Source organism: Homo sapiens, chromosome 8 (genome assembly GCF_000001405.40).
Source record: "Homo sapiens chromosome 8, GRCh38.p14 Primary Assembly".
Lineage (NCBI taxonomy): Eukaryota > Metazoa > Chordata > Mammalia > Primates > Hominidae > Homo > Homo sapiens.
Window position 1 is genome coordinate 102113694 of NC_000008.11, and position 13261 is coordinate 102126954.

Consider the following 13261-nt stretch of genomic DNA (forward strand, 5'->3'; position numbering starts at 1 on the left):
CTCCCCTTTCACTCTCAAAAATGTCCCAATGTGAACAATAAATTATGTAGTCGTCTTATATTTAGCCAAGAAACATTTCTTGGCCAGTTATGATGTGCTACCTACTGGGTTGGGCACTTATATTAGTTTTTTAAAAGGTATGTAAGATAAGAACAATTTCAGAACAATCTACTTGAAAAGACAGAAATAGCACCCCAAACAACCGTGAATCAGTGAAAACTTGATAATCATTGGTGTAGTCTAGGCTGTCAGTGCCTTAGTTCAGATCAGAGAAGAGTAGCGAGTGTATCCCCTCAAGGGGGTCACTCCGTAGAACTAATGCTAAAAGCAGCAATGCTTCTCGAGCACTTCCTGTGTGCCAGGCACTATGACAAGCATGATGCCCACGTGATCTCGCTTCATGCTCAAAACAGCCCTGTAAGTGAAGGGCTGTCATTCGCTCATTTTATGGATGAGATGACTTCCCCAAAGTCAGGCCAGAGAATTCAAATGTCTAGCTCTCAAACATACGTTCTCCACCACTGTAGATGTGGAGGTACTGCCTTCTGATCACCCATCCCTACCAGGAGCTGGCCCAGCAGAGTCACGTGTTATCACAGCCATCAGCTTCTCTCTTTCTGCCCTGCAGCAGAGCAAGCTGTGGCCAAACTCTGTCCAAGGGTTACCAAATCAGTTAAAGCCCAACCAGAAAACTAAAGAGGCTGCTCTTGAATCCTACAGAGGAGTCCTACTGAAGAGGCTATTGAGAAGAAAGTCATACAGGGGTTCAGGAAAGCAATGAAGGATGATGCAGGACTCTAAGGCTAGTAATAGCAGGAAGCCATGACCACCCTAGGCCTGAAGGCATGAGGGGAGGAAGTGGCTGAAGGAACCCAAAGAGGGTGGCGATATGGAGAGGATAGCTGCAGGCGCTGTGGTCTTTAGCACACACACACCAAGCTGCAGCTTGCAACCCAGTGGAGGGACAGGGGAATAAATACCCTACCTCACTCTCCTCCCACCCTCCCGTCTCCTGCTGATTTCTGGCCAAATTATACCAGAAGTCAGAAGAAAAGATGGCCATTGACGCCAGTGGTAAAGATCACCTCTTGGGGCACAGAGCCAGGTGGAGAAGGGAGCCAGGGATGTGGAAGGGCCAACAGGAGATATCCAGGCCTCTTACTGCCCTTGCCCTACAGAAGAGCTGTGCTCCAACCAAGGCAGAGGAAACTGGCCTGGTCACTCTTTGGGAGTTAAGGTGCCAGGTAGGTAAAAGGACACCATCCTCAGCATATGCACAAAGCCAGGGCCAGTTTCATGAGCATGTGACCTGTGCCATCACACAGGCCCCATACTCAGCAGGGCCCCATGCTGGCATTAATCCTCCACTAGCACCATCTTCAAATTCTTAATTTTTTTAAACAAAGTTCCCACACTTTCATTTTGTTGTGAGCCCCACAAACTGTGTAGTTGGTCCCCTGCAAGGCAAACCTTTTCTTCAGGTAGTGAGACTAAATTCTGTAAGTATCACAGTATTCCGATACACTGTTAAAGCAAAAGGATCCAAAGTTAATATTAACCAGAGTAACAATGATACAGTAGGATAGGTAAGATGGTAACATGAAGGGGCACTTTACCTTTTTTTCTTTCCTTCCTCTCTTTTAAAGTCAAACTGTAAAGCAGCTGAGAAACCAAAATTAGCTGCCCCCTAGAGAGAAACTGACCTTAATTACACCTGCTACTCCATAGCACAGACTGAATGGATTTTGGCTCTTCCCCAGTTAATGCGATCAATGCAGACAATAAAACAGAATAATTGATGCCCTGGAGTGGACTTTTCTGATACACCTCATTTGATGGACTACAGTCATCGAATTCTCCAGGCCATTGCCAAAGCTACTCTTTACCTTGCCTTATGTGCCCGATGTACACAGGCCCTACTTTGGGGCTCACTGTTGAAAATACATAAATAAAAGACGTGCGGATGGGTCAATGGCATTCACAAACAATATTTGTAGTGGATGCTTCCTGAAGCATGGGCTTAGAAACTTGAGTCTCTGCTGCTTCTGCTTCCCTTTCCTGAAAGACTCCAGCATCCTTAGCCTTCCTCTGAGAAATTATATTTCTAAAAGCATCTGGGAAAGCCCCAGGTGAGAAGCCTGAACAGGACCAGTGGCAGCTCTTTTTCCCATTCATTTCCTTCAATGCCATCCAGCAAAGCAAAGCCCAGAAAACGTTTAGCTGAGACAGGGATCAAACTGGCTTCTGACAGCCTCTTTCACACCCCTTTATTTCAGAAGTAAAGGACGGTAGATTTTAAGTGTTTGTTTATTTTGTTGTTTAAAGTTAGAATAAAGTTGCAAATGATCAAATCAAAAGCATTTAGAAAACCTCTACTGTGTCAGAAGGGGAACATCACACACCGGGGCCTGTCGTAGGGTGGGGGGAGGCGGGAGGGATAGCATTAGGAGATATACCTAATGTAAATGATGAGTTAATGGGTGCAGCACAGCAACATGGCACATGTATACATATGTAACAAACCTGCACGTTGTGCACATGTACCCTAGAACTTAAAGTATAATAAACAAAAACAAAAACAAAAACAAACAAAAACAAAAACCTCTACTGTGTGTCAAGGAACCTAGAATCCAGACAGTAAATCAAATCTAGGGGCACCGTAACAGAGTCAGAGAATCCATAGTTGCCGTGTATCCTAACTACTGAGCTCTGTCATGGATTGAATGGTGGTGACCCCCAAAAAAAGTATGTCCAAGTGTCCAAGACTTTTTTGGGTTTCTTTTGTAGGGTGGTGGTGTTGTTGTTTTGAGACAAGGTATCGCTCTGTCACCCAGGCTGGAGTGCAGTGGGGTCAACATGGCTCACTGCCGCCTCCACCTCCCGGGCCCAAGAGATTCTCCTACCTCAGCCTCCCGAGTAGCTGGAACCACGGGTGCATGCCAAGAGGCCTAATTTTTTTTCTTTTACTTATTTTTATCTATTTATTTATTTTTTGGTAGAGATGGGGTCTCACCTTGTTGGCCAGGCTGTTTTTGAACTCCTGGGCTCAAGCAATCCTCCTGCCTCGACCTCCCAAAGTGCTGGGATTACAGACATGAGCCACTGGGCCTGGCCATAACCAAGCTTTAACCCCCGGAACCAGTGAATATGACCTTATTTGGAAAAAGGGTCTTTGCAGATGTCATAAAGGATCTTGAAATAAAATCATTCTGGATCACGCAGCTGGGTTCTAAATCCAGTGACAAATGTCTTTATAAAAGATGCGCAGAGGAGAGACACACAGAGAAGAGCAGGAAGCAATGTGACGTGCAGCGCAGCTCTAGTGATGCAACCTCATGCCCAAGAATGCTGCAGCTACCAGAAGCTAAAAGAGGCAAAGGATGAAGTCGCCCCTAGAATCCCTGGAGGAAGCACGGCATTTCGGCCTCAGACTTCTAGCCTCCGGAGCCGTGAGAGGATAAATATCTGTTGCATTCAACCACCATTTTGTGGTCATTTGTTTCAGCGGCCACAGGAAACAAATATAAGCTTACAGCCCCATCTCTCACCTGTGGCCTCAGCTTCACAATCTCCGGCCAGGGACTATATGAAGCCTTCCAAAGCAGCCCATTCCGTGTTCACAGTAGGCCTAGTTCTGGCCCCAGATGAGTCTAATCCCTTTCCCTCAGTACAGTGCTTTCATGTATGTGAAGAAAAGAATATAAAAGTCCCACAGAGCGATTCCAGGCCAGAGAGTCCCAGCTACTGTCCTCGGCATCCGCCAGCTCATGAGAAATCCCCTTAACTTGTACCAGTCAGGGCAGCACAGAGGGAACGATCCTCTCCCTTCCTTTGAACAGTATTCTCTTATTGCAGCCCAAGGTCTCACTAATGTTTAAACAGCCAGGTGACACTGTCAACTCCGTTGGCACTTTCAACTCAAAAAAAAAAAAAACGCAACTTACATCTTTTTCATGTGTAGCAAATGTGATTCAAGGACATGTTGTCACTCCCATCAAGTATATGGAAAATATTCTTTTTATCTAAACACAATGAATCAAGTATGAAATATGCCTGCAAAGTACATTATTTTTGTAAAAAGTGGGGGATCTGAGCAGGCACCCACACCACCTATTGACAGCCAAGCCAAGTTTGTACACATCAGATTATTTCCAAAGAACCAAAACACACAGGTTGGGGAAAACGTAACCTTCCAGATCCAGCTGCATATACAGAAGAAATGTGCTGATGATCTCTGATTATTTGTCAGTCTTCAGATTTCAGCTCCATAACCTGCACTAGCTCCCAATGTTGGTAAATCATTCAACCTCTCAATGCCTCGGTTCACTTACCTGTAAATTGGGGATAATTAGAACACTACTTTGTGTTGGCTACTATGGACTACAAGATAGTCCCACATCAACAGGCCTTCTTGCTGTCTGGCTGTGGCTAGTTTGGCCAATTGGGAGGCACCAGCACCAGATCAGAGAGTGGAAGAGAGTGGCTGGGGCCTTTATCCACCTGGATGCCTCCCCACCAGGCCACAATGGGCAGTAGTCATATTCCTCTACTGAAAACCACAGCTCCAGCCAGCAGCCCTGTCCCCTGAACAACTCCAGAAACTGCTCTCTCACCTCATGCTGTCAGGGCTGGGTAGTGAAGGCTTGCATGCACTGCTGGCCACTTCTGGTGGGTTCCCTGATCTTACCCGCACCTTTGTAAATAGTCCCTTCATTAACTTTCCTCAGTTACTGCCTTCTGAGCAGTTCATCCGCCTCCTTATGGGATGCTGGAGGAGGAATCTTTCATAGGATTTAGCAGAATTAATCAATACTTGAATCGCCTTTAGGCATTTGCTAGCATGAGTGCTATTATTAGCAACAGTAGTCTACTTCTGTGAGGAATCCTGGGCCATGAGATCTCTCGATGCCGTATTTACATTTCCTCCCCAAGTTCAGTACCATTTACTAGAGATAGACATATTTTCAGTTGTACAGATGTGGGGAAAACTATTATGTTCTCTCATCTAAATAATTAAAATAACTTCTCTGCTGCTTTCCTCTTCTCCCCACCCCCTCTCTAACGTCCAAACCTTCCGATCATGCCATTATCACAGGCAACAAATATCCAATGGTTCCCCATGACCCTAGAATGAAGTTTAAACTCTACCACTATTTCTCACAATTCAATTCCAACCTACCTTCAAGAATGTGTTCAACATTTCACACCTACTAGCATGGCTATTATATTAAAAGAAAAAACAGAAAATAACAAGTGTTGATGGAATCCTTGTGCATTGCTGGTGGGTATGTTAAATGGTACCACCGTGGAAAACAGTGGATGTTCCTCCAAAACTTAAACACAGAATTGCCATATAACTCAGCATTTCCACTTCTGGGTATATACCCAGAAGAACTGAAAACAGGGAGTTGAACATATCACTGTACACCCATATTCACAGCAGTGTTTTCACAGTAGCCAAAAGATGGAAGCAACCCAAACGTCCATCAGCAGATGCATGGATAAACAAAGTGTGGTACATACATACAATGGAACAGTATTCCACCTTAAAAAGGAAAGAAATTCTGCCCATGTTACAACACGGATGATCTCTGGGGACATTATTATAAGTGAAATAGGCCAGTCACAAAAAAGACAAATACCTTTTATATGAGGTACCTAGAGTAGTCAATTCATAGAGACAGAAAGTAGAATAGTGGTTGCCAGAGGTTGGAAGGGAGGAGGAGATAGGAAGTTAGTGTTTAGTGGAAACAGAGTTTCAGCTGGGCAGGATGAAGAAGTTCTGGAGATGGATGGTGGTGATGGTTGCACAATAATGTGAATGTATTTAAAGCCACTGAACTGTACGTTTAAGAATGGTTAAAATGGTCAATTTTATGTTATGTATATTTAACCACAGTTTTTTAAAAGGTTGTATTCAAGAAATATTTATTGCTTGCCTATGGCACAAAGCACTGTACTGGGGCTGCCTCAGGAAACAAAATGCAAGACCACCATCCCCAGGAAGGGAACTTACCTCCTGCACATTCCCCTACCTGCTCCAGATTCTAGTCAATCCCTTCCCTAATTATGTCTTGCACTTTCACATTAGAATATAAATTCCTAAAGACAGGGGACTAGATCTTATTCAGCCTGTATCCCTACAACCTAACAGAATGCTGAGCATGTAGAAACTGCTCAAGAATATTGGTCAAATAGTTGAGTAAAAATCCAGGCAGAGACGTCTATGTCATTTTTCTCATGTCTTCTAGCCAGTCAGAACTTAAAATTTCTTGAAGTTATATAGCTATACTTGCAGGAATAGAGAGGCTAGAGCTTCACACTAAGCTCACTAAACTCACTTTAAATACTCTGTTCACAAGTAATTCTACTAAGTGCATAAATTGTGGATTTCAGATGAGAACTCCACTATTTACTGACCATGTGACCTTGAGCAAATTATTGCGTGCTTCTAACGCTGTTTCTCTTATCTATGAAGAGGGAATGCTAACAGTCCTATAGTGAACATCTGTTGCTTTGCAATCCAAAATCCAGGGGCTCATCTCTTGGTGAGAGTATAACAATTTTCTGCTGAAGAAACACCCCTGCTCCTATTTCTCAGCCCGTCTCTAAGGATGAAACATGTGACATGTGATGAAGCCCAAGCCTAGTAACATGTGGCACCCTGGTCACAGGAATAGACACAGGACCCAATCAATGCTGACGAGCCAGAGTAAGTCATTGTGAGCAATGCCGGGATGGAGACTTCCACTTTCTGGCTGGATTTAAAGCCCAGACTATGTAAGGTCTGGAGCTCTTCCAGCCATCCTACAACGAGATGGGGCCTCAATGAGATGGTACTAAAAATGGTGCCGACTCCATGAAAGCAAGCTGAGAAAAATAGAGAAATGAGGTCCCGCTAACAATGTTTGAGGCCTGAATCAGGCCATATCCGAAATGTCTTCCTCTGGACTGAGGAGTTATCAGAGCCAAAATAACATTCCTTTTTTGCTAAAACAGTTTGAATGTTGGGGTTCCTGACACAACAGAATTGAGTCCTAAGTAAAATATCTCCTGAAAAATTATCATAAATGTTAAATGAGGTATTCCATGTAAACCAGGGCCACATAGTACACACTCAATAAATGCCAATATCAATGTTAACTGCAGTGATTGTTCATTGTTGTGGTAGAAAGTTCCTGCCTTCTAGGGACTTTTAACTCATGTGCTCTATCCCTGATTTCTGTCTTCATTATCCGCAAATGATATTCTCTAGGATAGGAATGGTAAAGACTATTCCCTAATCCCATTCCCTAGCAGACAGACATCACTAGTTGACCACAGCACACTTTCTTGCTGAGCCCAGACCCAGCCTTGGATTCCTACTGGACCCAGATTTCCAGGCAGCCAGTCAGATGATGTGCAATATGAAACCAATATGTCTCAGCTTCATTGCAACAGTTGGCAAAATTTTCCTATAAGGAGCTAAGTAGTAAGTATTTTAGACATGGTCCCTATCACATATTCTTCTCCGTGTTTTGTTGTGTTGTGTTGTGTTTTTGTTTACAACGCTTTAAAAATATAAAGCTCATTCTTTGCTCTCGGTTGTACAAAAATCCCTTCTCTAGAGCTTTGAAGCCAGACTCTGGGGCTGCCTCAGGGAAGCAGCAGCTCTTATCTTCCCGTGCAACTTCCTGGGACCCCAGGAGTTGGAGAGCTTGGAGTGGGTGCCTGAGTCAGAAAAGTACCCTCTGAACATACTGAATAGTCCAAAAAGTAACAAAAGAGCTTTGGTGACTGCAGATTTCCTGTTATCATACCAATACCAGGCAATCTGAAATTCACATTCTGAGGGATGCTATACATAATTCAAGGAAAAGCTATAAAACCCATGTGTGTTATAAACTTCACCTCTGCCTCCAGAACCAAATTCACTGCACAACCCTTTCAAAAAATTGGACCTCCATCCCCTACAGCCACATCTGAGATGCCTGACCTTTTCATGAGAGAAGTAAGGAAAGAGAAGGGTTCAGATCGTTACATTTCTTCATTGTTAGTCTGCCCCTCACCATTAAAAGGACACACCTCGAGGGCAAGGATCCCATCAGTTTCAAGACAGTATGCCACATTTCTTTTGACCAACTCTTGATTCCTTAGTATTTCCCAAGGTTTTTTATCGTAGAGTGTTAGATATAAAGCTTGGTTTGGTCCTCCTCTCTGTCTATTATTCTCTGTGTTTGATTCTGGCTTTAGTGAAAAGGACTGGATTTTGTTTGACTGATGTTTGTTTATTCATTCAACAAACATGTACCTACAATCAGAATCCATCTCTCAAGGCACATGCAGGTGCCTTGATACATAGATACATAGATAATGTACATAGAAAGATACATAGATAATGGTGCAGAATGATGCGAGGGCTACATCCAGGGTAGCATGGCACCTCTGGGAGGGGGAGTGCCATGCAGCCTGCTGGAAGGCAGTGTCGCAGCAGCTGAGCTGCCAAGAATGCATAGGAGTTGACCAGACAAGGAAGGTTGGGGAGATGATAGATGCTGCGACTCAGTGGCTTGAGCAGAGGCTACGTGGGGGGAGGCTTGGGAGATGAGGTTAATGAAGAGAGAAGGGTGGGACCGTGAAAGTCCCTGGAGTGTGAATTCTATCCTGAAAACCACAGAAAACCTCTAAAGGAAATTAAGCAGAATGACTGGCTTAGATTTTTGTTTTTGGAATGAGTGTCCACAGTTTGGAGAATGGACTGGAGTAAGACGGTCCTGATTGGGAACAACAAGCTCAAAAGCAATTGGAACAATTCAGGCAAGAAGTGCTGAGAATATGAACTAAGTCAGTGACAGCAGGAACTGAGAGAAGAGGGCGTATAGCAACAACAACAAAAATAATAAGAGCTCACATTTATGCAGCACTTACAACAAGGCATGATGCTTAGTGCTTTCTGGGTATTAACTCATTTTATCTTCACAGTAACCCTGAGATAGCTTTGTTATCTATTATCAACCTCATGCCTCACATCAGAAAACACAGTAGAGGTTAAGTAAGGACCCCAAGATCCAGGAGCTATTGACGAATGAGCCACAGCTCAAACCCGGCTGTCTGGCTGCAGAGCCCACACTCCTAATGTCCATATTGGCAACTCTCCTAATACAGTTACAGACAGAGGGTCTACAGGACTGGACACTGAATGGTTGAGACAGGGGAGACTCCAGGACAATTTCCAGAGATCTGGCTTGGGTAGGTAAACATGTGAATTTCAGTTTCTTGAGCCTCCTCCCCAGATCTGTCCTTGCCCCGCTACCGCAAGTACCCACACTCCCACCATCACACCACACCCCCTCTCCTTTGTAGTCTGCATCAAGGCCTTTGGCCATAAAACACGGGGATCTCCCAATTGGAGTGAAAAACCTCACAAGCATTTCCACTTAGGTCTGAGAAACCCCTGACAGCAAACTCTGCTCTTGGTAATACAGTGGCTTAGGTCTGTTATTTTCAAATCAGCCAGAAGTAGGAAAACTTTGAGCGAGCTTGTGTGGTTTCCTTCTGAGAGAGTGAGACCTTGGCTGCCTACTTCTGTGTTTCACCGTAGCTGCCCTACGGAACAGAACATAGACCTTCTTGCGGGGCTAGCGTGTAAGCACAGCAGCACACCAGCCGCCTCGCCTGCGGCCTCCGACAGACCCGCAGGAAGAAACTGACCCTGGCAGGAGCTCTGCAGAGCCAAATGGCATTCTTTCTCCATGCACAAAAGTTAAAGCAAGCATCTGCAGCATTAGAAAAAAAAAAAAAAAACTTGTGTATTTCCTGCGGACAGGGAGACCTCCTGCCCCTCCCGGGCTGATACAACCCACTTTGCACATCCTGCTTCTCTGGGAGCTAAAAATAAATCGGTATGCACTGAAAAACACTCAAACACATCTCCCCAGCACACCCTTCCCAAGTCCTCGAGCGCAAGGGACACGAATCTTTCAGGTCCTGAGTCCAAAATGCAGACCACTTCCTCGTCCGTGTTCAACCAGCGCCTTTCGGCCTCTCCCTTGGCCCCCTCCCCAGACGCCCACGCCCCGCACTCGCCTCCTGTGGCCTTTCCGGGCAGACTCCGCAGGCCCGGGATCCAGCGGGTGCCCCGGCCCCCGGCCCCGGCCCCGGCCCCCGGGGCGGGATGCTCCAGAGGTCCCCGGGCCGCCAGGCTCACCAACGCCCCCTTCTGCCCAGCGCGCCCCATCCCGCCGGCCCCACGCGCCTCTGCGCGGCCCTCTGCAAAGTTGCTCTCTCCTTTTCTGCCGCCCACCCTCAAGGTCTGTAATTTTGTTTTGTTTTCCCTCAGAGGCACTGGGGGAATGACAGAGGAATTGACAGGGTGAACTGCACCCAGGAGGGAGCTGCTGGAACCAGGTTCCCAGAACCGCGCGCTCCTCGAACCCACCCCTGCGCCCGCGGCGCACCGAGCGCACGGGTCCCCCCCAGCAGCCGCCCCCGGCACACCCGCCCCGGCTGCAACTCCGACTCCGCTCTGGCTCCCGAGAAGCGGAGGGAAGGCGCTGCGACTCACCGCCTCGGCCGCTCCCAGCGTCTGTGTCGCTTCGGGCGAGGCGGCGGCAGCAGCGGCAGCGCCTTCCCTCCGCCCGCCTCCCCCTGGACAGCACCGTCGCCAGCCGCGCCCCCCTCCCCAGCCTGGCTCGCCGCCTCCCTCCTCGCGGCCGCAGACCCCCTCTCCACTGCAGCCCCGCAGGCAGCCTCTCCGGCGTGGGCTTCACCGCGGGGTTGCAGGGGGGCCAAGATGAGGCGCGGGATTTGCAGGTGCAGTGGACGCCCCCCCCCTCCCCCGCTTGCCCTGGTGCAGCCTCCGGGCGTGTCCCCACGGTGCCCCATAGTCCTAGCTCACCGCCCAGGCCTCTAGCCAGCCTGCACTGCTACTTTCCAAGGGGTGCCATCTGCTTGCCTCCTCGGGTCCTGGGAGGTCAGATTCAGCCTAGAGCACCTCCTTCCAAGCTTCGATTTGAGGGGGGGTCTGGGGTCCCTGCTCTACCGCAGTGAAGTTCAAGGGAGCCTTGGAAGGCAGTTGAAAAGCTTCTCAGGTGGTGTCCTCTGGACTCTTCATGCCCACAAGGTGGGAGGGGGGCTGCTTTTGTCTAACTAGTGCTTTCTCTACCCAAAGCCTTCTGTAAACTGTCTAGGAAAAGCTTAACAAAAAATCCGGAGGAAGACATCTAAGGGGCCCCTCTCCTGCCCCTCCTTCCTCCCCTCAAATTTTTCATCTCGTGTGGAGATAATGAGAAGCAAAATGTCTTGTCAATTCATTCACCCAATATTTATCGAGTACCTGCTGGCTGCCAGCACCTGTTTCCTGTCTTGCTGTGTCGTCCACTCATGGCCTCTCAAAAAGCCACTGTAACTAACTCCTTGTGCTTGTCAACCCTGGTGACATTTCCAGAACCCGCAGAAGGTCTCAAGAGCAACTCAAATTCATCAATTTAAAAAGTTGCTGCTTAAAAATAACAAGGCTGCAAAGGCACCGTGACCTGGCCTTCCTCGTTGTAATGTTTGCAAAATCTTTTAACATGACTGGTTATAGAAAGGACAGTTACATTGAGGTCCAGACAGCTGCCAACTCTGATTTAAACACCAAGTAAAAGTTTCATCTAATCAAAAGCACCCTTTCCTAGCTCTACCGGTTGCCTTCAATTGTAAAACAAAAATTATCTAGGAGGCTGTTAAACCATCATCAAATACTAAAACCTTTGCTTGCATTGGGTTAGCAGGTTAGCCCAGCATTTCCCTTCCTGGACACACAGGAGGAGAAATGCTGGACTAATCTGCTAATCCAATGCAAGCAAAAATTTGCATTGGAAAGTTGGATTTTTTGGTTTTTGGTTTTTTCTTTTTTCTTAATACTAGGCCCGACCCCGAGAGAATCTAATCTAATTGTTAAAAAAAAAAAAAATCCGGGGTTCAGGGGTGTCCAGCTTTGTATGGGTATTTTTTTCACATGGGCCCCAGGAGACTCTGATGTGTGGCCAGGGTTGGAAACCACCATAGGATTAGCCAATCATCAAGCAGGGCCTAAGGGAACGTCCCGTTGATACAGCAAAAGGTCTGCACAGGTGTTGCAAACTCAAATGTCCCTGAAGGATAAAAGCAGGTGACAAAGAAGTAACTTAAGTGGTTATACAGGGACAAACTGAGAAGGGCACAATGGCCCTGAAAAAGGCAGCCTCATTTTTCTACGTGGGAAAAGAGGGTCCAGTGTGGCCATCAAGTCGGGGTATTTTATTTTATTTTGGTTTGGTTCCCCCTGCCCCCAAGAGAAGCCAGAAGTTCACGTTTAATGTGAACTCTTCTAATTTAAAAATATTAGTAACTTATTTTTTAAATATTTTAAAAAATTTTAAATATTTTTTAAATATTTCTCTATAAGCCAAGAAAATAAGAATTTGTAGGCCACAAGTGGTCCCCTGGTCATCGGTTCGTCACCTGTAGTCTGGACAGATTCTGTGCATAGGAAGCAGTTAGGAAGGTGCTTGGGGTGGGATTCCTCAGAGAGAGAGGTGATTTTAAAGTCCACTTTATCTACTTTTCTTTATTGATGTGATTTTTCTTTAATGATCTCTACTGTTAAAAAAAAAACAGTTTTGCTGAGGTATAATTCACACATCATACTATTCACTCAAAATATGCAATTTAATATTTTTTGCATATGCAGTTAGTTGTACAAACTATTACCATAGCCAATTTTAGAACTGATTTTCATCACCCCATAAAGAAATCCCACACCTATTAGCACTCATTCCCTTCTTTCCCCAACCCCCAACTTCCAGTGACCACTTATCTATTTTCTCTCTATGTAGATTTGCCAATTCTGGACATTTTATATAAATGGAATCATACAATTTGAGGACTTTGTGACTGGCTTCTTTCACTCAGCTTAATGTTATCAAGGCTGTCTCATGTTGTAGCATGCATCAGTACTTTGTTCCTCTTTATGAACAAACGATGTCATTGTATAGCTCTATCACATTTTGATTATCCATTTATCAGTTGACAGACATTTAGGTTGTTTCACTTTTTTACTATTGTGGATAATGCTACTATGAACATTTCTGTTCGAGTTTTTGTGTGGATGTACATTTTCATTTTTCTTGGGTATATATATAAATTGCCAGATCACATGGTAACTCCACGTTGAACATTTTGAGAAATTGCCATACCTTTTCCCAAACCAGCTGCACCATTCTACATTCCCACCAGCACTATATGAAGGTTCCAGATT

The 13261-nt window shown here is 45.8% G+C and overlaps 1 protein-coding gene and 1 non-coding gene across 13 annotated transcripts in view, besides 2 other annotated features; one reads left to right on the top strand and one right to left on the bottom strand.

Annotated features, from left to right (window-relative positions):
• NCALD (neurocalcin delta) overlaps positions 1-11214 on the bottom strand; it is a 438366-nt gene extending 427152 nt beyond the window's left edge. For 10 of the 12 annotated variants that reach the window (NM_001040627.2, XM_047422305.1, NM_001040629.2 and 7 more), the window contains exon 1: positions 10544-10568. The gene's annotated coding sequence lies outside the window, so the exon portion shown is untranslated. Of the gene's footprint in view, positions 1-10543; positions 10569-10876 lie in introns of those variants that run through there. The other 2 variants (NM_001040630.2, XM_047422315.1) reach the window with 1 other exon arrangement.
• Positions 10024-10213: a silencer, noted in NCBI's record as "silent region_19434". NCBI's record gives its function as "represses an Ori minimal core promoter by ATAC-STARR-seq in GM12878 lymphoblastoid cells {active_cell/tissue: GM12878}" and the evidence as "EXISTENCE:reporter gene assay evidence [ECO:0000049][PMID:35858748]".
• Positions 10584-10643: a silencer, noted in NCBI's record as "silent region_19435". NCBI's record gives its function as "represses an Ori minimal core promoter by ATAC-STARR-seq in GM12878 lymphoblastoid cells {active_cell/tissue: GM12878}" and the evidence as "EXISTENCE:reporter gene assay evidence [ECO:0000049][PMID:35858748]".
• A 524-nt stretch (positions 11215-11738) lies between the features above and the next one.
• Positions 11739-11822, top strand: MIR5680 (microRNA 5680). Its single transcript, NR_049859.1, has one exon. It is a non-coding gene; the product is annotated as a microRNA 5680 (primary transcript).
• The last annotated feature ends 1439 nt before the right edge of the window (positions 11823-13261 follow it).